Source organism: Homo sapiens, chromosome 14 (assembly GCF_000001405.40).
Source record: "Homo sapiens chromosome 14, GRCh38.p14 Primary Assembly".
In the NCBI taxonomy this organism is placed as follows: Eukaryota; Metazoa; Chordata; class Mammalia; order Primates; family Hominidae; genus Homo; species Homo sapiens.
In genome coordinates, this window is record NC_000014.9 from 32,069,955 (window position 1) to 32,094,775 (window position 24,821).

The 24,821-nt window shown below is 37.7% G+C and overlaps 1 protein-coding gene and 1 long non-coding RNA gene across 3 annotated transcripts in view, besides 4 other annotated features; one reads left to right on the plus strand and one right to left on the minus strand.

Moving 5' to 3' along the window:
* Positions 1–5,464: 5,464 nt before the first annotated feature.
* On the minus strand, positions 5,465–6,745 carry ARHGAP5-AS1 (ARHGAP5 antisense RNA 1 (head to head)). Its single transcript, NR_027263.1, has one exon. It is a non-coding gene; the product is annotated as an ARHGAP5 antisense RNA 1 (head to head) (long non-coding RNA).
* Positions 6,771–7,030: a silencer, noted in NCBI's record as "silent region_5657". NCBI's record gives its function as "represses an Ori minimal core promoter by ATAC-STARR-seq in GM12878 lymphoblastoid cells {active_cell/tissue: GM12878}" and the evidence as "EXISTENCE:reporter gene assay evidence [ECO:0000049][PMID:35858748]".
* The window catches only part of ARHGAP5 (Rho GTPase activating protein 5), an 82,425-nt gene continuing 64,953 nt past the window's right edge, over positions 7,350–24,821 (plus strand). For both annotated transcript variants that reach the window (NM_001030055.2, NM_001173.3), the window contains exons 1-2: positions 7,350–7,481; positions 20,548–24,432. In NM_001030055.2, coding sequence (NP_001025226.1) covers positions 20,716–24,432 — 3,717 coding nt within the window. In that variant the 5' untranslated portion in view covers positions 7,350–7,481; positions 20,548–20,715. The remainder of the gene's footprint in view (positions 7,482–20,547; positions 24,433–24,821) is intronic.
* Positions 7,391–7,610: a silencer, noted in NCBI's record as "silent region_5658". NCBI's record gives its function as "represses an Ori minimal core promoter by ATAC-STARR-seq in GM12878 lymphoblastoid cells {active_cell/tissue: GM12878}" and the evidence as "EXISTENCE:reporter gene assay evidence [ECO:0000049][PMID:35858748]".
* Positions 7,391–7,703: a biological region, named in NCBI's record as "Sharpr-MPRA regulatory region 9862".
* Positions 7,409–7,703: a silencer, noted in NCBI's record as "tiled region #9862; K562 Repressive non-DNase unmatched - State 1:Tss". NCBI's record gives its function as "represses a minimal TATA promoter and a strong SV40 promoter by Sharpr-MPRA in K562 cells {active_cell/tissue: K562}" and the evidence as "EXISTENCE:reporter gene assay evidence [ECO:0000049][PMID:27701403]".

The window sequence follows — 24,821 nt, forward strand, 5'->3', positions numbered from 1 at the left end:
ATTGTGCTCTGCTAAGGAGAATGTAGTAGATAGAGGAGGAGCTCTACTAAAGAAATGCCCCAACTTGGAAAAGCAACCATTAGTTACTGATGTGGTGGAATTCGAAGGTAACTCAAGTGTCAACAAATCCAGATGGGACACATTTTATTATAAACCTTGTGGTCCAAAAAGGAAAGACTAAAGCAGGTGGAAAGATCAGCTCAGCTTTATCAGTACTGGAGAAAACTACCTATTGTCTATATCTGAAAGCTTTTCAACACAGTTGCAGTGAGACCACCTACAATATAGGCAATGCTACTGATTGGCACATTTACATAATTAAAAATAAAAGGATAATAAAATGTATGTTCTTTGCTTGGTATGTTTTGCTGTAAAAGAACTTTTTAAAAGGTCATTAAAGTCAATACAATCCAGTGGCGGCAAGAAGATGTTTGCATAGACCATTTCATTCCAGGCAATATCACAGACTGCCACAAACGGAACCAGGCAATACCTAATGTGGCCTGTAAGAGGCCCAAGAGATAATTAAGAGAGAAGGAAAAGAAGACAGAGAATTAAAAAGTAAAAGGAAAGGAAAAAGGAAAAAACACCTAAAGTAAGAGTAGGAGGGGGTAAAAAAAGAGAGAAGAAAAGAGAAGCGTAAAAGAGAAAATAGAGACATACATGGTAGGCAGCCAGTTGCTTCAAGACAATTTACCTTATCCTGCCTTGTACAGTGTCTCTTTGCCTTTCTCAATTTTCAACCCCACTATAATTCAAATTTTTATAGTACAAGAAATACTATGTTCATTGTAGAAAATTAGAAAACACAGACAGAAAAAAATAAACATTAGCTATAATCTCACCATCTAGTTAAAATCTCTAATAACATGTTGGTCAATAATATTGTCATCTTATTTTCAGACATTTTCTTTTTATAAGAATCATACAGCTTTTAAGGCCGGGCACGGTGGCTCACGCCTGTAATCCCAGCACATTGGGAGGCCGAGGCAGGCGGATCACGAGGCCAGGAGATCAAGACCATCCTGGCTAAAATGGTGAAACCCTGTCTCTACTAAAAATACAAAATTAGCCGGGTGTGGTGGCGGGCGCCTGTAGTCCCAGCTACTTGGGAGGCTAAGGCAGGAGAATGGCGTGAACCCATTGGGAGGCGGAGCTTGCAGTGAGCTGAGATCAAGATTGAGTCACTGCACTCCAGCCTGGGCAACAGAGTGAGACTCCATCTCAAACAGCAACAACAACAACAGCAACATACAGCTTTTATTGCTTTGTACCATTTTTTCCCACATAAAGTATTATGACTATTTTTCTACCTCAATAAATACATGCTTCTAAAATATCATTTTAAATAATTGCTTCCTTTTAAATTTAATTCTATAAGAATTTAATTTATAGGATACATATAGCTCTTTATATGCTTTTGCTACATCAGTTTTACATTATTGTCATGTTTGTAAAATCTCAGAATAACTAATATAAATATTTTGTGGCATAGCATAAAAAAGTTATTTAATGTCTATTCCTATAAGAATTAGAACCAGAAACAAATGATGTATGTGATATAGGCCTGTCCTGGGCTGTGCCGAAGAGGAGTAAGAAGCCTAGTTGGAGAAAGAAGGTGAGTATTCTTATTCCTCACTGTATAACAGATGTATATGAAAGAAGCTATGTGTTCATCAAAAGAATCACATTGTAATTTGAGACATACAGAAGTACAGATGCACCTCAACTTATGATGGGGTTACTTCCCAATAAACACATCATAAATTGTAAATACTGTAAAGTCAAAAATGCATTTAATACACCTAACCTACCAAACATCATAGCTTAGCCTAGCCTAACTTAAACATGCTCAGAACACTTACATTAGCCTACAGTCAGGCAAAATCATCTAACACAAAGCCTAGTTTATAATAAAATGTTGAATATTTCATGTAATGTATGGAATACTGTTCTGAAAGTGAAAAAAAAATGGTCGTATGGGTGCTTAAAGTACAGTTTGTACCGAATGCTGTCACTATTGCTTTCGTACCATCGTAAAGACAAAAAACCTTAAGTTGGACCATCGTAAGTCAGGGGCCTTCTGTATTTAGAAGTATGTATATATTTATTGAACTAGAAAAATAGTTGTATTTTTGCCTTTTTGAAGAAAATGCAACATGTGAATTGGCAAAATAAGTATTTACCATCTATTTTAGTTTAAAATAATAGGGAAAACCGACAGAGACTTAATTGAGAAGTGATTAGCCACTTTATCGTTGGTTTCAGAAACTATACTGCACCAGTTCTTTAGAATGTTTCCAGATGTTTCAGACCTATAGTTATTTGTTGTTAGTAACTCACATTTACCTACTAGAGAGATGTTATGTGGAAATATGTCGATTGTACTTGAGGAAGGACATCTAACTCAACTTTCACAGGTGAATTCAGCGATTTCTTTAAATGATTTGTATTTTCCAAAGTGATTATCTCAGCTGGCACTTCGAAATATAATCTAAAGCCTTCTGTTAGCCACAAATCCACAGAAATCCATAAAACCTAGAGTGTTTCATGTTATTATTATCAAACATTTATTGAACTTTCTACTAATGATCTTCTAGTTATTATATAGAGCCAAACATTCATTTTGTTATTCCTATGTAGAGAGACTCACAATCTAAATTTGGTCTAAATAGAGTGGGAAATTCACAAAAATTATGTTCATGAGGTTAAATAGTCAAGCAATACAAGTTCCTGTTTCCCATTGTAATGATTTACAAATGACAGTGGTAACAATCTCAAACAGAGAATTCAAATCCTTCAGTTAGCAATTCTTGCAATTATTTTTTAGCTTTATGGGGTTAACTTTATTGGGGTTGATTAAATTCAAGCTGTGATCTTTCATAAAAACTCAATAGAGAGTCCAGATGGCCCAACAATACCTCCTTTTGTGAGAGGAAATAACTTGAAGATTTTGTCTAATTAAAGTATTTGTGCTGGTGGGATCTGAATGAATTGTTTTTCCTTTAAAAGGAGTCTGCATTACAAATAATCTTTACAAAATACGAATTATTTAAAAATAGTGTGCTGCTTTCAGTATTTCAGTTATGTCCTAGGACTAGAGTTTCATGAGCATGACATTTTAAAGCTAGACTCTGATACCATCTTTGGGATTTCAGTCTGAAAATACAGTTCTGGAATATCAACAGAACAAGGCTGTGTGGAACAAAATGCCAAGAAGGTCAATGCACTACTTTCCTCCTGTTCCAGTCCCATGCTCACAATTACCTTAACTCTTGTCAAAATATTTTCTACAGTAACAGCCAAGACATAATTAGCACCTTTTCTTCATGTTGAAAATATCATTGGTACCCATAAAACAAATTTGGGGAAAGCCCTTAAGCACCTTAATGCAGCAAATGGCTACTGTGGATTGATACACCATTATTTGCCTAGCTGAAGGATTAATATCCCATCTTATCCTGCCTTCTTCCTCCCCTCAAGTAGGCCTAATTGTATGAGATAGAGAGAAAAAGAGAAGTCTAGGCAGGAGATGGGGATAAGGTAAAGAGTGGAAATACAGTTGGAAATTAAGCAAATATCTTACAAGTGTTTTGGCTATTTAGCTATTTACATCATTATTCTCCATCCTCTTTGTGTATTTTGTCTGTAATCAAGGTGATATTCTGACATAGGTTGTTCTCCAAAAGCCTGTCTTGTATCAGACAGGCTAAAGTATTGGTCAATTCTGTCATGAGTGGTAAGGCCCTTTATTTGGCTTTTCATATGTTCCTGATTGAGACTACAGAAGCCAAAGTTGTTATGATCAAAGATTTCCAGCAGGGGGTGTAGCTGCCTCTATAGGGTAAGTTCTTTTGAAGCCACAACATATGAAACATTTGAATATTGCAGTATTACCACTAATGGTAGAAGCTGGAATTATGATAACTTTTTTTATGACTGTCATGTCTTTTGATCTCAAAAAGACCATGCATATTAATACTTTATTAGGATGTGATGAAGAACTAGAGATTTATGAAGAAAATTTAAATTAAAAACCGAAAATGCCTGACAAATCTTATTCTAATTTTTTCAAAGTAAACGAGGAACAAAGAGTCCAGTTATTTTAATTATCCAGTACAGCAGAAGAGAGGCTTAACTTTTTTATTCTAGATAAGAAGAGTAGTTGATTTGAGAGGGCTTGTTAATATTTATTCCATTTCCATTTCTGTCCGATATTTGTGCGCGCGCATGTGTGTGTGTGTAAATAAGTTACCTATTTTCTTAAAAATTATCCTTTTGAGTAGGGAGGGTGGGTGTTTTAAAGCTTTTTCTCTGAAGTCTTGGCTCCTGATCAATTTTTAAAGATGCCATCTTACATATTTTTCCTCCTGCTCTTTGATGCCTTTTATTTATGGATATATAGGCATTATTAGCCACAGAATTGTGGCCCCCATTTCAGATTTTTATTGATACAGAAAACTCTATTTTTTGAGAAGAGCAAATTACATACAATAACTTATTTGTACTGGTAAACACCTTTAGACTATTAGTATTAATAAGAAACGAAGTCCTAAATTTCCAGGCTCCCTAAATCAAGATAAAGAACTGAAAATAATGTCGACTATGAAAATCATTGTTTGGAAATCGTGATCTTTTTTTTTTTTTTAACGTCTTCTGGTGTCTTCATTATAAGAAAATAAATGAGATTTCAAGTCTTCCCTGCCTCCAGTATCATGTCCTATAACTGAACATTACACCTTTTTAACGTTTTCTTTAGAAGCCCTGATTTATTTGGCTTTGGTTTATGTTGATACATGTCCATGATTATTAAAATTTCTGATTATTTAGGACATAATTTTTAAGGTATCTTTAGGGTGTACACTCTATAGTACTTAACATCTTATTCAGGTTATGACTTTGAACTGCATCATTATAACACTAAAAAGCAACCTTGGCTAACTTCAGTACCTTACGTAACATAAGAAATAAAGAATAACTTGAACTTAAAATACTTTTTATATGTTTACTTCGGGTATTCTTAAGGGCTTTCAGTACAAAGATAAAAACATGCGTTGGAATGCATCAACATTCCAACTTACATAAGTGGTGTAGATACCTATGGCATTAGTACCACATTTTGATGGTTGGACCACCCACCAAATTCCCTTCTCTCCTTTTTTACTTCTTTTTCTTTCTGTTTGCTTTCCTTGCAAGTTTCCTTCCGCATCCTTCTTTCCCACCTACAATTTGTAACTGAAAGAAAGAAGTAGCTACAGACCTTACCTAACCTACTCTTAACCTACTTGGTAGGTAGGGTTCAGATGCAAGGGAGTGGCTCGAATAAAGCATTTTAGTTATGCCTTTTAGAAATTAGGGAGCAAGAGATATATAGAAAAATTAGAAATGTCTCTTCTACCTTTATTAAGTCTACCTTTGAGAAATATGAAGGGCAGGAAGACGGAAAAACGAACAGAACTTCTGCTGGAATATTGTGACAAATTTACTGACAAATATTTTCTAATAGATTTTTACCAACAGGCAGTTTTTGTTTTCTTTACTGACAGACCGTAAATGTACTTCTGGTTGGCAGCAGCTGCATCATTATAACACAAAAGCAACCTTGGCTAACTTCAGTACCTTATGTAACATAAGAAATAAAGAATAACTTGAATTTAAAATACTTTTTATATGTTTACTAACATTAAACTATTTTCAATGCAGGAAATAAATATTTCCCCAAAGAGGAATCCCCCCTCAATTACTTTCTTTCAGACTTAACAAATTGGAGTAGATGTGGTTTTGCTCATTCTTTTATCTGCTGGCAACTATTTTAAGTCTCCTGTGCAAGGCAGATTCCGATGACCTCGGGAAAGTCACAGGACCTCAGTTTCTTCAATGGTAAAAGCAAAGGCAGTGGTTTCTACCGTCCTTTCTCACTGCACCATTCAGCGTCAGTGCCCTCATGAGAAACACACCCAAAGCCCAGTGTGCTCTACCCCAAAACTTGTGAAATTTCTAGAGTCTCAAAAAAGTGAATATGTTTAAGGCAGTATAATAAAAGCCAGGTGGACGACAGTTCCTAAAGTTAGGCTGGTAGTGGCGTGAACAGGGGTCTTTTGGGCCACCCTGAGACCCGCCCCACGGGGCTTCTCGATCCACGTCTTGGCTTCTCGCTCCACTTTCACAGAACGTACTGAATCAGGGGCCTGCATCCCCGTGCCGTGCCGAGCCGACGGAGAAATGGACTCCTCTTCTCGCTCCTGTGGAGTTTCGTCTTCTGGGTGAGTGTGGCACCGGGTCCTGGGCGGGTGATGTCTGTAGTTGGCGAGCGATCCTCAGCCAGAAAACTGGCTGCGCACACAGGCGCAGACACGCGAACATGTTCCTGCGAACGAGCTTGGGCGCATGTTTTCCTCCCTTGCTTTCTTTAATGCTCAGAGACCATAAGGGGATTTATCGAGAAGCATTCGGTGCCCATGCCCGGTTTGGAACCGCGAGCACAATATCTGGTTCCTTTGCAGTACGGTGGTTTGCTCTTGAGTTACGACCAGAAACCGGAACAGAAGGAAAGGGAGAAGCAGGGGAGGTTCGGGGACGACGGCGCTCCGGGCAGTAAGGCAGTAGCTTCCAAAGCGTGGAGGATGGGACTGAGGAGGAGCAGAATACGGAGAAAGAGGGAAGCTGAGGAAAAATACTCACGCCAATGGGTAAAAGGGAAAAGGTGAGAAGGAATGGAGTAGGGGAGGGAACCAATGGTGGGAGAGGCGGAGGAAGAAGGGGGAGGGGTAGAAGCCAATGGGGGAGTGGAGGGGAGGGAGAAGCAGAGGGGAGGAGGGAGCGGGGACGCGAGCGAGGACGCGGCCCCGCGCGCTCGTCCCCCTCCCTCCGACTGGATAGCTCGCGCCTTCCCAGGCTCCCGGGAGACGAGGGCAGGGGCGGGGCCGTGCCGGGTGCGCGGCGCGGGAGGCGTCGCGAGGTGAAGGGGCGGGGACGGGGGATTGTGGGGAGGGCAGCGCGGGTTCGCGCGCGCGCGCGCGTCCCGTCCAGGCTGCGCCGCCGCGCCGCCGCTCCGCCCCCGGTCGGGTGTGTGGCTGCGCGCGCCGGGAGAGATGCTGAGGTAAAGTTCGGGAGAGAGGGAGAGAAATCCGTCAGCGCGAGGGAGCCCGAGTGGCCGCCATTACTGAGCCCGGCGCGGCGGCGGGCGCTGGGGAAGGGGGGAGGGACGGGCCGCCGCTGGTGGCGGGGAGGGAGGGAGGGAGGGTGGGTGAGCTGGCTGCGGGAGCCGTGGGGCTCAGGGTTTCGGGGCGTGTGTGTCGGGGAGGGCGGGGGGAGGTGGCTGAAGGGACGCGCCGCTCGGTGAGCGCGCCGAGGAAGAGAGGCGAGCGGAGAGTGGAGGAGGAGGCGGCGGCGGCGGGAGCGGTCCCCAGGAATGTCGCTGCCGCCGCCACCGCCGGGGCCGCTGCCGTTGAGGAGGAGACGGAGGAGACCGACGTTGTTAGGTAGGACCTTGCGGACCCCGCTCCTCCAAGCCTGCCTGCCCCCTCCCGGACGGGGACCCTCCTGCGGCTAGCTGCCCCGCTCGGTCGCCGCTGCCGGTTGTAACCAGTTGAAGGGGCTGGGGCCCCGCGGCCGCCGAGGGGAGCCTGGCGCTGCGCTCGGTTTTCGCAGGCCGGGCGGGCAGCAGCTGCAGCGTTAGGGATACGTTCGGCGTGAAGGGCAGAGAGGCCGGGGGAGGGGGTGCTTTCTCCACAGGTGACGGGGCCAGGGTCGGCGGAGGCCTGATGCTGGCCGGGGATCGCCGGCCCCGCCAGGCGTCCGCTCTCGCCCGCCGCCTCACTTGCTCGAGTCTCGGGTGGTCCGTCGAGAGGGGAGGTGGCGGTGTCCGTTGGCCGGGTTGCTGCTGTTAACGAGTTCCACCTGGAAAGGGTACACGGGGCGGGTGCAGATTCGCGGAAACACAGTCTCGGTTGCAAACTTAAACGCCTTGTAGGGGGGATCGGCCCTTTCACTTTCCCTCATCTCCTCGACTCCTCCCTGGGTTCTCTTCACCAATTTTCCATCTGCTTTGAAGCTTGGAGTAAGATATGAGAAGTTGCACTGCGCATCCAGAGCCCAGAGTCCTATGGGCTGACTGCGACTGGGTTGAGGCTTTGATACTGAGTTTTCGCTAGAATAACCTCCAGATTCTTCCTCTCTTTCCACTAAAGAAAAGTATCGGGGTGGGGGTGGGGAGCCGCGCGGGAGCGCGCGCGCACTTATCCACACAGAAATACTCCCTCTCACCCTCCCTCTTCAGCGTTATTAGAAATGCAAGAGAGCTGGAGGCTCGGGGTGTAGCTGAGGTTGAAAGGTGCACGGAAGTAAGGGCAAACTGTTATTAGGCCGTTTAGTAAAATCCCGAAAAAGTTGTAGGGGAGACGCTTATACTTCTACCATGTGATAGAAATTCGGATTTGGCCATCGCTTAATAAATGGGAATTCAAATATTTTGAGATAGAGCAAGATAGGCATATAGATGGGTTTGTGCTTACGTTTTAAGTTTAAATTCTTATCGATCATTTATTTTTTCCTTTGTGATAGGCAGGAAACTGAATTTTTTTTTAAATGTTCAGGTGTAAAACAGCAAAATGCTTCGCTGTATTTACTAGTACTTGCTTATGTTGCTTTCTACAGGTAGGGGCGGGGGGCGAGTTTGTCAATTCCACTTAAATCCAGAACCAGTATTCAGTTAGAATGTTAGGTGGTGTTTATCCGCATGAAGGATCTCGTTCACTTCATGGGAGCTTGCTCTACATTTCCACTTAAAATGGTTCTCCTAACAAAAATTTCATCTAGATGCAGCGATTAGACATTTGGAATAATGTTTGGTTTAAAAATACGTTAATGAAACCTTTTGCTGTCAATTCTAGTTTATTTGTACTGTAATACGATAAAACGGTATTCTTATTCAGTGTTTGTAGATAAGTATTACTAACCGTCTAGGTAACCTACTAGATAGTTTCTTGAGTAAGATTTTGCTTTCATTTTAAATTCCTTTCTCATTTTTTGCTTTCATCTATCCTTTGTATACTAATTGACCTCCATTACCTTTATCTGTAGTACAAAGAGCGGTAAGTATGTGTCACCAAAAACTTGCAAAGACACTGGAGCAATTTATGACTAAACGCACTGGAGTGAAAGGCTGCGCATACCTATGCTTGTAACTTTCAAGAAATAGCACTATTGATCTAATTGACTTAAAGCAGAATCAGACGGTACAGATGATTAAATAACTATTGATTTGGTTGTCTTGTGTAGGCTGTGTTTTTAAACCTAGATCAACATGTCTTATTTTGCCATTCTTTGTACATTAATTATTAAGAGTACTGGGGAGTGAGGTGGGTTACACTTTGATGTAAGAATTGCGGCAGAATTCTGTTATCTTTATGAGTTTTGTAGTGTCCCTCCCCATTTAAACGACCTTAGCAATTTTTAAAATGTGTTGCAAAATTATTACCTTAATTCTGTCACAAGATACTTATCCTAAATGTTTTGAAAACCGTCTCCCCTTCTTATTTGTGTTTGAAAAGCATATTAGCACAGTCATTTTTTTGGAGAGTTATTTTGACCTTGAAAGTTAAGATTATTTAAGGAATGAATATTGTATTTGCATTCCTTTTTTGGATTTGAAGTAGCGATAATAAGTTTTCTAACTCACTTTTTTTAATTGAAGAAAAAGTTAGGTCTCATAAAGACTTTACTAAACTTTACCAACATTGGCAGGATGTAAGATGAGTGTTGGCCTTTAGTGGTCACTTCTTAAATATGAAATGGCATAATAGAGATTTTCTTGGTAGCTACAGAATAAGTTTTGTCGCAACTGTAGTTTCCATAGATACTATTTTAAGAACTATTTATTTGGGTTGTATGGTCCACAGTTTTTTCTTTGCATACCAAGAAGGTGTGTAGTAATATAATTGGCTGAAGAAGCATTGTACAGTGTTGTTTTAGTGATGTCTATGTTCCTAAAAGATACTTGTATTATATATTTAAAGTACACCAAGGGAATTTAATTTCTAAAAGACCTGTGAAGAAACATCAGTAGATTCATCATTCAGTAATTTGAGTAATCAGGCTCTTGTTTTAAGTGCAGGCTTTTGTCGATTATTTTATTGAAATAGGAAAAACCATATTAGAAATTAAGAAAAATGCTTCAATGCTAAGAATTTTAAGTATGAACTTTAATTGGTTTTCAAACTCTGTTCCTTGGATTCCTGTGGGTTTTTTTCCTAGATGCCTTGAGACTTCCTATGACAACCCACCCTCCCAAACCAGGACAGCTTCTATTTTCATGTATTAAGTGTATTGTATTTAAATATAAGAATATTTAACTTAATTAAATATAAGAAAAATATTTATTATTTAAATATAAGAAAAATAACTAATGGGTACTAGGCTTAATACCTGGGTAACAACAAACCCCCTTGACATGAGTTTACCTTTAAAACAAACCTGCACATCTACTCCTGAACTTCAAAGTTAAAAAAAAAATTCCCCTTAAAAAAAAACAAAACTGATCTGCATTAATTTTTTTTAAGTCTCTGATTCGTTATTCATTAGTTCAGATTACTTTTATTTAGCACTTACTATGTGCCTAGCCCTGGAAATACCAAGATAAATTAGATATAGGTATAATAGCTCAAGCTGTATAAAGGAGTAAATAGTTAAAAGTATTAAGAGGTGCAGGAAAGAGAATGCCTGTTTTCCTCAGGACCTCTGGGAATCATTCATAGAAGAAGAAACATTTTGAGTTTTAATTGCAAGCAGGAGTTTAGATGTAAGAGAGACCAAAAAGGATAATTTTTTTTTTCCCCCCACTGTGTTTTGGAAGCTGTCTACAGTACTTTAGATTTGCAGGGAAATGAAACAGATTGTTGATGCTTGGTCATATCTGTGTTTTACTTCATAGAATTATTACTTGGGAAAAAGAGCATAACCTTGTAATTTTGTGGTTAAAATGACTAGTATGTTACTTGCTTAGAGTCTCAAGCTTTTCATCATGAAGAGTTAATGGTAAAAATGGATATTCATTTTTCTAGTGTTAGATTAGATTTAGCCTATTTTATTATCCCTGACCAATATTTTATTGAGCAGCTAGGCACTGAGTGATACAAAAAGTATAAAATATTGCTCCCTTAAAAGATCTTTTAACTTCTGTGGAGAGACAGCAAGCATGACACTTTAAGAATTTGAGGTATATTTAGGGAAGTACATACTGATTTAAAAGTTAGTAGAAAGGAATTTAGCTAAAGGAAGTGTTACTTGGATTACATACTGATTTAAAAGTTAGTAGAAAGTTATTTAGCTAAAGGAAAGTATTACTTGGAAGTAGCATACAATTGGGATAATGAAGGGGGAAAAAGACATTTAGGGAAGTTAATGACAGTGTGGACTGAAAGCACAGGTAAGTAGAGGACAGATTAGCAGATGGGAAGAAAATATAAAAATGTGTAGTCCTAGCTACTTGGGAGGCTGAGGCAGGAGAATGGCGTGAACCCAGGAGGCGGAGCTTGCAGTGAGCCGAGATCGCGCCACTGCACTCCAGCCTGGGCGACAGAGCAAGACTCCTTCTCAAAAAAAAAAAAAAAAAAAAAAAGATGTAAGAGCATCAGTTTTGTACCTTATGAGCCAGAGTGAAAGATTTGGAGAAGGTATTAATGCAAGAGTGATAGAAGGGGTGATGTAGAAATAAACACGTAACGTTGGCATAACTATTTGTCTAGTTACTGTATTTGGTTTGTCAAACAGCCTTGGAAAAACTCTCACCTTGGCTTCTGATATGGCATAATTTGTTCATTTTCTTTCTGTTGATCATGTTCTTTTACTGATTCAAAATTGTTTCTTTTTATACTTACCTTTTCAGAGCCAAGGTAATATCTCTTTTAGAGAACTAGTAAAAAATTAACATTACTATAATCTAGAGCAGCGATCCTTTTTGGTACCAGGGACTGGTTTTGTAGAAGACAGTTTTTTCACGGAACCGGGGGCATGGTTTTGGGATGAAACTGTTCCCCCTCAGATCATCAGGCATTAATTAGTTAGATTCACAAAGGGAGCAAGCAACCTACAGTTCTTGATCCTCTGAGAATCTATCGCTGCTGTGGAGGCGGAGCTCAGGTGGTAATGCCCGCTTTCCAGGCCACCCCTCACCTCCTGCTGTGCAGCCCAGTTCCTAATAAGCCACAGATGGTTACCAGACCGGGGTTGGGGACCCCTGATCTAGAGAATTTAAGATCTAGATTTCTACTCTTCTGTATTAACCAAGTATCTAATTCTTCATATGTTTTCTTTAGAAAATAAGAGTATTACACCAAATGGTCTCATAGGTAATTTTCTGAAGTTTATGATGCTGAAATTTATGTTAATAATCCTGAACTTGCCTTGTTTCATTACCGAGGTTTCATTTGTCTTTGGAAATAACACCTGAAAGTGAAATGAACCACCATCTATTGCTGAAACTGATTAGTTTTTCATTAAGAAACACTGGCTTAATGTGTTGCCTTGTATTTCTTATGTCTAGTAGCCAGTTACCAAGCTCTCTTTGTCTTGCATTGCTCTTTTATTGATTAATTAATTAATTTTTTTTTTGAGATGGGGTCTTGCTCTGTCACCCAGGCTGGAGTGCAGTGGCACTCAGCTCACTGCAGTCCGCCTCCTGGGTTCAAGCTATTCTCCTGCCTCATCCTCCTGAGTAGCTGGGATTACAGGCACACGCCATCACGCCTGGCTAATTTTTGTATTTTTAGTAGAGATGGGGTTTCACCATGTTGGTCGGGCTGGTCTCGACCTCCTGACCTCAAGTGATCTGCTGGCCTCTGCCTCTCAAAGTGTTGAGATTACAGGCATGAGCCACTGCACCTGGCTGGATTGCTCTTTTAAATTCTGTGATAGTTCACGTGCATTTAGCCTGTAGTATTTGTCTATCTCTTGGGCTCTGTGCCCAGTCTTGTATTCCTCCTCTAGACTAATCTGTAGTGGCTTCTCTATTGCTTATGACAAAGTCTAACTCTTGTTTTCCCTTGAGACCTAGGGTCATAACTTATATGTTCAAAACAGTATTTCTTTCCAACATGGGTACTGTGGTCAGCCATTCTACCCTAATTGTACACCTGGAGAGACGACTTTACAATCCAAATCTCGTCTATTTTTTAAGGTTCACTCAAATCCTTCCTCTTCATTGAAACCATTCATCTGTTTCAGGGGTCTGCAAACTATGGCCTCTGGGCCAAATCTTGCCTACTCTCTATTTTTGTAAAATGGCTTTCTACATTTTGAAATGGTTGGGGGGCAAATTAAAAGAATATTTTGTGATATGTGAAAATTACATGAAATTCAAATTTTCCTAAGTAAAGTTTACTGTAACATAACCATGATCATTCATTTAAGTACAGTCTATGAGTGCTTTTGCAGTATGACAGCAGAGTTGAGTAGTGTGACAGACACTGTGCAGCATGCAAAGCCTAAAATATTTACTGCCTGGCCCTTTACAGAAAAAGTTTTCCAAACCCTGAGTTATTTCAACTTGTACTTTCATTTCTTTGAATTCCTGTTGCATTTATTAGTACCATGGTATAGCACATTGCCTTTATCTCCTTGGCTATGGTACTGTTTATTATTATGCTTTTTAATGTAGTGTGGAAAGTGCTTTTCAGTCTTTTTTTCCCTTAATCCATACTTCCTTTAAAGCTTACACCTCTTGTTGATATTCTTATTCAATCAGGTGCTCTCATTTTAAAAATTGTTAAGCCGTATCTAAAGTTGTTTGTATGATGAAAATGACGGTTCCTCTACTATATGGCATTGTAATATTGCATATCAAATTATGCCCTTCTCCCCACTTCTTGGTTCTCCAAGGTGGAGAGAAAAGGACTCAGACACTGGAAGGAAGGTGAACTACCAAGCCATAGTTACTGGCTTGGTAGACTTTCCTATATGTACCTTTATACATTGAAAATCTCTGACAAAGTTAAACTGATAGTAGCTAAGCACAGTAAATAAATACTTATAGTTGTTTACCTAGGTTGATGAACATGGGATGACCTTTGATCCTTCTGTTTCCCATACAGAAATGAAAGAATTTAGAATGACTTGCACACCAAGGCCTCAGGGAAATAACATGTTATCAGAGTAGGGTGTACATTAAATAATAGGGTAGAAGTTAATGTGTTTGGGAATAGTTTTGGTCATTGGTTTTTCACATATTTTCAGCAGTGAAGTTTTTTTCAAACAAATTGAAATATCAGAAGATAAAAATGGTTAAAAGCAGAATTACCTTTGCTGCGTGGGTTTGCGGAGCTCCCAGAGTACTGCCTACTTGGACCCTCCTTGAAGTACTACACACCTTTAGACTTACTGTTTATATACCCCTATTGTGTGTTAATGATCACATTATAGTCCTGGGGAAAAAAACTGGACTTTTTATGTTAGTATATTTTGCTGTACTAGATGTAATGGGCCCAAAGCAGTACATAATTTTTGTTAATTGTGTTTACAAGTGTGACTTCAGGATTACCCAGCGGTTTGGAAGCTGATTATTCTTAGTCTGGAGATTGAGTCATTTATTCATGAAATATTTACTGAGCCCTCACTGTGTATCAGGCACTGTTGCTGGAGATTTGATTCCAAAACAAAATCCCAATGCTTCTACGTTATTTAGTCACCACGTAAATTGTTCAAATTTTTAATAGGTTGGTTCTCTCTTCATTTGCCTGATTATATTCTTGTTTCAAGACTAATTCATAGGAATAATGACTTTTTAGGGCTCATTTCACATACAAATTGTGTGCTTTCTGGTATAAACTGTGGTTCAAAGATGAAGTATTATTTCGAGTCCAGGACTTTGAGACCACAACATAGTGAGACTCTCTACAAAAAAATTTAAAAATCACCTATGTGTGGTGGTGCACATCTGTAGTCGCAGCTGCTTAGAAGGCTGAGGAAGGAGGATCATTTGAGCCCAGGTGTTTGAGGCTGCAGTAAGCTATGATCCTGCCACTGTACTCTAGAATGGGTGACAGTGACACCCTATTTAAAAAAAAAGACAGATTATGGGATATGAGTTACTCTCCTACAGGTATTACATTGTTGAATTACTTAGCTATTTTATGTGTGTTAGAATGACTTTTTGATTTCTTCTCACTTTTCACAGCATTGATAAATTTACCAGAAATAGCAACATTAAGAAAAGGCAGGCTGGGAGGTGGCTCACGTCTGTAATACCCATACCTTGGGAGGCTGATGGAAGAGGATTGCTTGAGCCCAGGAGTTTGAGACCAGCCTGGGGAGCATAAGGAGAACCCCTCTCTACAAAAATAATTTTTAAATATTAGCTGGGTGTGGTGGTGCATGCCTAGAGTCCCAGCTAGACAGGAGGCTGAGATGAGAGGATCACCTGAGCGCAGGAGTTCGAGGCTGCAGTGAGCTATGATCATGCCACTGCATTCCAGCCTAGATGACAGATTAGGAGACCTATCTCAAAAACAAACAAAAAACAGTAAAGTAATGCATCAGTACTACACTCTGTTCATCTTTTTGTTGTTGTTTTCTATTGCTGCTGAACAAATTATTCATCTTTTAGTGTGCAGTTGTTTTTTTATTCTTCAGCTGCTTGCAAAAAGTTTGCCTAAGATTGTAGAATATATGATAATCTTTGGGCTTTGTTCTTGTTTCTTTTGAATATTTGTTTACATAAGGGATAGTTATTTGATTTAAAGAAGATAGAGCATGTAATTACAAAGTTCCCTCTGTGTGATTAGGTCTTGGAAATATAATTTCTTATCATAAATTTTGTGATTTTACTAAAGTCTTTAAACAGCCAAAAATTTTGAATTAACTATATTTGGGGTTGTACTCAACTTCACTTTTGAAAAAAAATTTTTTTAAGATGTCATAAAATTAGATTGTTATGCTGGCTAAGTACATTATTATAGATTGTAGTTAGCTTTCATTCTCATGGTTTCATTTTTGACTAAATATTTGAGTTTAAATTAGGATTTATGCATTTAATTAGTAGCTGTTATGTGGGAGGCACTGTTGTAGGCTTTTGATATACTGGTGAAATAAAGATTTGTGCCTTGTGACTCTTTTATTAAGAGTGGGATGCGGAGAGGGATAGAGTTAATGACATAAATAAGGTGTATAGTAAGTTAGGAAGGTAAAGAGTTAGCAGTGGGGATCTTTGGGGATATTGTGAAAAGTTAAGTGCAAAGAACATGCCTTAGCATGTTGTCTTCCTCCAGTGTGATTGAAGCAGAATGAGAAAGGTAGAATAGTATTAGGGGAGGCCAGAGAGGTGAGAGAGGGTTGGAGAAGATCTTGTAAGCCATTGACAGGACTTGCTTTTTATTTTTAGCAGTACTCGAGAGTTTTAAACAAAAGAATGGGAAGCTCTGATTTATGTTTTAAAAGGAGCACTCTGGCTGCTCTGATATGAATAGACTGGGAAAAGGGAGCAGAAGTGAAGCAGAGGAGTTAGTTTAGAAGACTTTGGAGTAATCTTGGGCCAGAGATATTGATGGGTGAGAGCAGTAAAAGTAGAAAAAACTGAAAAGTTAAGGATATATTTTAAAGATAGGACCATTAGGAATTTCCTGACATGGTATAATTTAAAAGCATAAAATATTTTTAAATATATACCTTTTATTAATGAATGCATCAATTTTGTGAAAAGGTACATGTTTTAGTTCTGATTTATTGAGATTTTATTTTTTTAGATTCCTTGTAGAACTTTTTTTTTCTTGATTTGCAAAGGAGGATGCAGTGTTTGAATGGTCTAGTAAAATACCTTAGAAAACTTAGTTGTGAACATAGTTTTGTTTTGACACAATTTTAATTTCTATAAGGATATAGATAATTTCTATAAGATTATCCTAAAGACAATCTTAAAGGCAGAATGAGAGACTGCATTGCAAGCTATTAAAAGCAGCACTATTGCTTAAAAAAGTAAAAGATTGGGAATGAAGAGATTTTCCTTCTAACCTTATAATTTCTAGTAGGTTATTGCTACTTTTGTCTTGGTTTCTTCATCAGTAAAAATAAACATGGTGCTAGATATCATAAGAACAAGTTGCATGAAAGTAAGCCTACATCAAAAATAGATGTGCATGATTGACATAGATATTAAGACTGAAAGGAATTTTTAAGTTAACTCAAACAGCCTTCATATCATTGAAGACACTGGGCATTAGTTTATTAGTGGGAGCATGAAAAAAAACAATAAATTTTTTTTGTTCTTAGCACTGAAAAAAAAAATTGCTTGGCTAATAGAGGACAGTTTTGATCTGGTTGTAAGGGGCCAATGGATAATTTGTATATATATATGAACTATCTCAGTGTTTGAAATGAAGTTCCCTTAAAACCTGTTAGAGCCAACTTCATGAGATCTTTTGTCCATTGAGGTGGTAATACCATACTCATCCAAACAAATAGCCAAACCCTTTTGAGGGCAAGGTGACAACAGTTTTTTTTTTTCTATTTTGGGGTTTCTCAAACTATTCCCCCGCCCGCCCTCCCCCGCTTTTTTTTTTTTCAAACCAAAGCCTCTTGAATTAAGTAAACCTATAAATCAGATAAGGAAGGCACTCCTCTGGTGAGAGTTGGAAGGATTCTTCCAACACCCTTCCCACATCTAGGTGGAAGAATTTTTCTGTCACAGTTTGAAAATCACTATATGGTGACTCATGACATAAGCTCTGGAGTTGATTTCAAAATACCAGCAGGTGGTCTGCCTAACAGCCTTGTTAGAAGAATAAGGATGTTCCTCCCTGTATCTAATGGGCATTTTACTGTGAATTGTTGTGGAAACCATAGAAGTCATGTGAAATTACCTTATTTTTAAACTTGAACATTTAAGATTCATATTGCCACTGTCAAATTAATTAGGATGTGTTGAAGCCTTAGTATTAAATTTTAGCCTCATTATAGTTTTATTTCTGTCAAAAAGCTTTCCAGTTTTCAGTGACCAATGAAAGGGTCATGACTTAATGCCTCCACTCTTCATTTAAGACCCTTTTGTTTCTGAAACCTTAAAAATACATTTTATGATAGAGTGTTTTCATTTCTACTTTACCTTTCTATCTTAACATATAGAGTATATCTCAGTATTTTGGGGTTTATGCTATTGGAGAGCAGAAGTGAGTCTTAATGAGTAATAGTATTCAGAATTATATTATTTGGGTAAGCATATATGACTGGAAGACAAGGGACGGTTTTACTTTTATATGTCTTTGAATTACTCTTGGTTTTCAGAATAGATGTTTGTTTAATAAAGAGTTATATTTCATTATGTAACTGTAGTGTTTTTACTGTACTGTAAAAATTCCCCGAAGTAATCACCAGATAAGTCTTCTTTTGATGTACATTTTAAAGTATATCATCTGCAGGTTTTGCTTTTCTAATAAAAAAAAAGAATAGATCTTGTATTCTCTTGTGTTTTCAATATTTTCCTTAATTGTTAGATATGGAATCATTGTGCTGTTTTCCATACTAAGTTCCATTTCTATCACTGTGTATATAACTTTGTTGTCTAGAATATACTATGTTTTCTTCTCTGTAAATATCCATAAATAAAGTGTTCACTTGTTCTTTTACACAGTTCAGGTAAAGAACATTAAAGCTGATGCTAGGTACAGATTTTCAGTTGGGCCAGATTAAGATTTGTAAACATTTTACTTAATAAAAAAAGTTAATAGGATTGAACGGGACTGCCCTAGTTTCCTTTATTACATGTATACACTGCTGCCACATAAATATTTGTAAGTCACAAGCCTCATCACATTATTTTTCATAAATCTTAAGCAGCTTCCCATGGTTCCAAGAATCAAATAAAGAACTGGAACTAATATTTATTAAGCCCCTTGGCTAGGCACTTCACATTTTAAAAAATGATTTATAGATATAGCTCTGTTTTATAGATGAAGGAACTGTCTTAAGAGGTGTAGGGCTTTACTGTTGTCATCAACTAGTAAATGATAGGAGTCGGATTTTGAAATTAGTTGTATTTACACGTGGTTTCTACTTCCTTGTATTGCCACTTCAATATAGTAATATTTATTACAAAAGTGAACCTAATATATATTTTGTTTGACTGTCAGATGGCTGACTGTTAAAGTTAATATTTAGTTGAGGTTGATGGAATAAACTTCTAAAATATGAGAATAAATCTGAAATTTTATTTTTAAAAATTATTTTATCAGAAATGTTAGTCAAGATTTTAAATTATGAGCACAGTTTATCTTCACCATTAGTTAGTGTAACATATGTTCGGTGTAATTGAAATAGATGTTTACTTGCAACAGAGGTCAGTGGACAAGCAGGTATTTGTGGGAGAGGGGAGGAAGTGGTCTTTTCTTACTTTTCTTAGATTTTTTTTGTTCTTTATTTTGTCTGGATTGAGGATACTTTTCATATGTGCTGATGTACGTTGCTAGTGATTTTTTCCTATCTTATGAAATTTGGAGGTGGTGGAAATGATGCAGTTCTTTTAATTTGGCCTCAAAAGAATGTGAAAAATCTCTAAAAACTTTTTTAAAAGACCAATTTATTACCTACATGAAAACAAGTAATCAAAATTAAATTTTATGCAATTCTTAAAAGTTATCTTGTGTTGCTAGTATATCAAATAATTCTAAAAGATTGTCTCAGATATATCATTTTAAAATTATTTAGCTTGGTGCTACTCAAAATGTGGTCTTTGTGCCCTTTGTAACTATTATGAGAGGAAGTATATCCAGAAATTAAGAGCGTTTAGGAACAGTTTGGCAGTTTTAAGTTTCTTGAATCTAATAAAAAATCAAGGCTTCGATGTAAAAATAAATTTCGTTATATTTTGCAGTTGGTCTTATAGGTTTGAAATAAAATTTGGTCCTTAGTTTAAGAAGCAGTGATCTATGTAAATGCTATCATTATTTGTATTAAGTGTTCACTTATTTCTGTTTTCTCTTAAGTATTTAAATATTCTTAATTTTGGGGGGGTATAACATTTGGTAGATTTTTTAAAAAAGACTTGAAATTTATTGCAAAAAATTTGTATATTCTAAAATCTTATCAAATTCTTATGAAATTCTGTTTTAAGGAATAAGTTTTAAGGAACCCTATAATGTAAAAAGCAGGTTGTTTTGTATTTTTAAGTTGTGAGGGAGTTGCAAGTCAACTAGTACATTTTAGTTATCACCAGCATCGCCTCCAGTGACAGAAGGCAGGAAAATTAAGGGAGTGGAAAGGACTAGCTGTTTCTTCAAACTCATAGGAAGGGGTAATTAGAGGTAAAATGCACATTTGGTTTAATAGAGGTTTATTTTAAAGTTTGTGAGACATTATGTTAGATTTTGTATTTTGTTAGGTTTGCCTTAAATTTTGAGGTCATCTTGTATTTATAACAGTAAATCATAAACTGTTTATGTAGTTACCTCTTAAAATACATGTATCATTATTATTAATTTGTATGGTGCTTTGTTGTAAACATCTTTATTGTAATTCAGTGTATGTAATTTGTGATTAAGATTTGTTCTTTTTCTCCCCTCTCTATAGGAAGATGATCCCTATGATCTTGAAGATGTTTCTGCACAGAAATGAGGGAAATACAAAGAACCAAATACAGTTCTGAAATTTGGGATCTGTATTTTGAGATGATTTTATTTTCAGAATGAGAAGCATATCTGGTTACCTTTATGAATGTAGAGACATGAGAAGAGAGTTATGATGGCAAAAAACAAAGAGCCTCGTCCCCCATCCTATACCATCAGTATAGTTGGACTCTCTGGGACTGAAAAAGACAAAGGTAACTGTGGAGTTGGAAAGTCTTGTTTGTGCAATAGATTTGTACGCTCAAAAGCAGATGAATATTATCCAGAGCATACTTCTGTGCTTAGCACCATTGACTTTGGAGGACGAGTAGTAAACAATGATCACTTTTTGTACTGGGGTGACATAATACAAAATAGTGAAGATGGAGTAGAATGCAAAATTCATGTCATTGAACAAACAGAGTTCATTGATGACCAGACTTTCTTGCCTCATCGGAGTACGAATTTGCAACCATATATAAAACGTGCAGCTGCATCTAAATTGCAGTCAGCAGAAAAACTAATGTACATTTGCACTGATCAGCTAGGCTTAGAACAAGACTTTGAACAGAAGCAAATGCCTGAAGGGAAGCTCAACGTAGATGGATTTTTATTATGCATTGATGTAAGTCAAGGATGCAATAGGAAGTTTGATGATCAACTTAAATTTGTGAATAACCTTTTTGTCCAGTTATCAAAATCAAAAAAACCTGTAATAATAGCAGCAACTAAATGTGATGAATGCGTGGATCATTATCTTAGAGAAGTTCAGGCATTTGCTTCAAATAAAAAGAACCTTCTTGTAGTGGAAACATCAGCACGATTTAATGTCAACATTGAAACATGTTTTACTGCACTGGTACAAATGTTGGATAAAACTCGTAGCAAGCCTAAAATTATTCCCTATTTGGATGCTTATAAAACACAGAGACAACTTGTTGTCACAGCAACAGATAAGTTTGAAAAACTTGTGCAGACTGTGAGAGATTATCATGCAACTTGGAAAACTGTTAGTAATAAATTAAAAAATCATCCTGATTATGAAGAATACATCAACTTAGAGGGAACAAGAAAGGCCAGAAATACATTCTCAAAACATATAGAACAACTTAAACAGGAACATATAAGAAAAAGGAGAGAAGAGTATATAAATACTTTACCAAGAGCTTTTAACACTCTTTTGCCAAATCTAGAAGAGATTGAACATTTGAATTGGTCAGAAGCTTTGAAGTTAATGGAAAAGAGAGCAGATTTCCAGTTATGTTTTGTGGTGCTAGAAAAAACTCCTTGGGATGAAACTGACCATATAGACAAAATTAATGATAGGCGGATTCCATTTGACCTCCTGAGCACTTTAGAAGCTGAAAAAGTCTATCAGAACCATGTACAGCATCTGATATCCGAGAAGAGGAGGGTGGAAATGAAGGAAAAATTCAAAAAGACTTTGGAAAAAATTCAATTCATTTCACCAGGGCAGCCATGGGAGGAAGTTATGTGCTTTGTTATGGAGGATGAAGCCTACAAATATATCACTGAGGCTGATAGCAAAGAGGTATATGGTAGGCATCAGCGAGAAATAGTTGAAAAAGCCAAAGAAGAGTTTCAAGAAATGCTTTTTGAGCATTCTGAACTTTTTTATGATTTAGATCTTAATGCAACACCTAGTTCAGATAAAATGAGTGAAATTCATACAGTTCTGAGTGAAGAACCTAGATATAAAGCTTTACAGAAACTTGCACCTGATAGGGAATCCCTTCTACTTAAGCATATAGGATTTGTTTATCATCCCACTAAAGAAACATGTCTTAGTGGCCAAAATTGTACAGACATTAAAGTGGAGCAGTTACTTGCTAGTAGTCTTTTACAGTTGGATCATGGCCGCTTAAGATTATATCACGATAGTACCAATATAGATAAAGTTAACCTTTTTATTTTAGGGAAGGATGGCCTTGCCCAAGAACTAGCAAATGAGATAAGGACACAATCCACTGATGATGAGTATGCCTTAGATGGAAAAATTTATGAACTTGATCTTCGGCCGGTTGATGCCAAATCGCCTTACTTTTTGAGTCAGTTATGGACTGCCGCCTTTAAACCACATGGGTGCTTCTGTGTATTTAATTCCATTGAGTCATTGAGTTTTATTGGGGAATTTATTGGGAAAATAAGAACTGAAGCTTCTCAGATCAGAAAAGATAAATACATGGCTAATCTTCCATTTACATTAATTCTGGCTAATCAGAGAGATTCCATTAGTAAGAATCTACCAATTCTCAGGCACCAAGGGCAGCAGTTGGCAAACAAGTTGCAATGTCCTTTTGTAGATGTACCTGCTGGTACATATCCTCGTAAATTTAATGAAACCCAAATAAAGCAAGCTCTCAGAGGAGTATTGGAATCAGTTAAACACAATTTGGATGTGGTGAGCCCAATTCCTGCCAATAAGGACTTATCAGAAGCTGACTTGAGAATTGTCATGTGCGCCATGTGTGGAGATCCATTTAGTGTGGATCTTATTCTTTCACCCTTCCTTGATTCTCATTCTTGCAGTGCTGCTCAAGCTGGACAGAATAATTCCCTAATGCTTGATAAAATCATTGGTGAAAAAAGGAGGCGAATACAGATCACAATATTATCATACCACTCTTCAATTGGAGTAAGAAAAGATGAACTAGTTCATGGGTATATATTAGTTTACTCTGCAAAACGGAAAGCTTCGATGGGAATGCTTCGAGCATTTCTATCAGAAGTTCAAGACACCATTCCTGTACAGCTGGTGGCAGTTACTGACAGCCAAGCAGATTTTTTTGAAAATGAGGCTATCAAAGAGTTAATGACTGAAGGAGAACACATTGCAACTGAGATCACTGCTAAATTTACAGCACTGTATTCTTTATCTCAGTATCATCGGCAAACTGAGGTCTTTACTCTGTTTTTTAGTGATGTTCTAGAGAAAAAAAATATGATAGAAAATTCTTATTTGTCTGATAATACAAGGGAATCAACCCATCAAAGTGAAGATGTTTTTCTACCATCTCCCAGAGACTGTTTTCCCTATAATAACTACCCTGATTCAGATGATGACACAGAAGCACCACCTCCTTATAGTCCAATTGGGGATGATGTACAGTTGCTTCCAACACCTAGTGACCGTTCCAGATATAGATTAGATTTGGAAGGAAATGAGTATCCTATTCATAGTACCCCAAACTGTCATGACCATGAACGCAACCATAAAGTGCCTCCACCTATTAAACCTAAACCAGTTGTACCTAAGACAAATGTGAAAAAACTCGATCCAAACCTTTTAAAAACAATTGAAGCTGGTATTGGTAAAAATCCAAGAAAGCAGACTTCCCGGGTGCCTTTGGCACATCCTGAAGATATGGATCCTTCAGATAACTATGCGGAACCCATTGATACAATTTTCAAACAGAAGGGCTATTCTGATGAGATTTATGTTGTCCCAGATGATAGTCAAAATCGTATTAAAATTCGAAACTCATTTGTAAATAACACCCAAGGAGATGAAGAAAATGGGTTTTCTGATAGAACCTCAAAAAGTCATGGGGAACGGAGGCCTTCAAAATACAAATATAAATCTAAAACCTTGTTTAGTAAAGCCAAGTCATACTATAGAAGAACACATTCAGATGCCAGTGATGATGAGGCTTTCACCACTTCTAAAACAAAAAGAAAAGGAAGACATCGTGGAAGTGAAGAAGATCCACTTCTTTCTCCTGTTGAAACTTGGAAAGGTGGTATTGATAATCCTGCAATCACTTCTGACCAGGAGTTAGATGATAAGAAGATGAAGAAGAAAACCCACAAAGTGAAAGAAGATAAAAAGGTAAGGTTAACTTAAGGTCAGTGATGTTTATAAAAATGCTTGTTGTTACTTTTTTAAAATACTGACATCAGTGTTAGAATTTAGTCTCATTCATTCCATACATAATAATTAGTAGCCCTTTTTAATTTTCTGAGTATTCTGTGGGGATAAGTGATTTTTTGTTATTTTTGTGCTTTATTGGGGTAGAGTTTGATTTCATATTCTTCAGCATAAAAATTCTTGGTGAATGTGTTTTTTCTTTTTACAGAAACCCAGATATGAAGTGATTTTGTTCTTAATTTTTCCATTTGTAATCATCCTATTTTTCTGTTTTTCCCTTCTGCCCTACCAGTTTTGCGGTATTAATTTGACATACCTGTCTCACTCAAGGATATTAATAATACAATAAA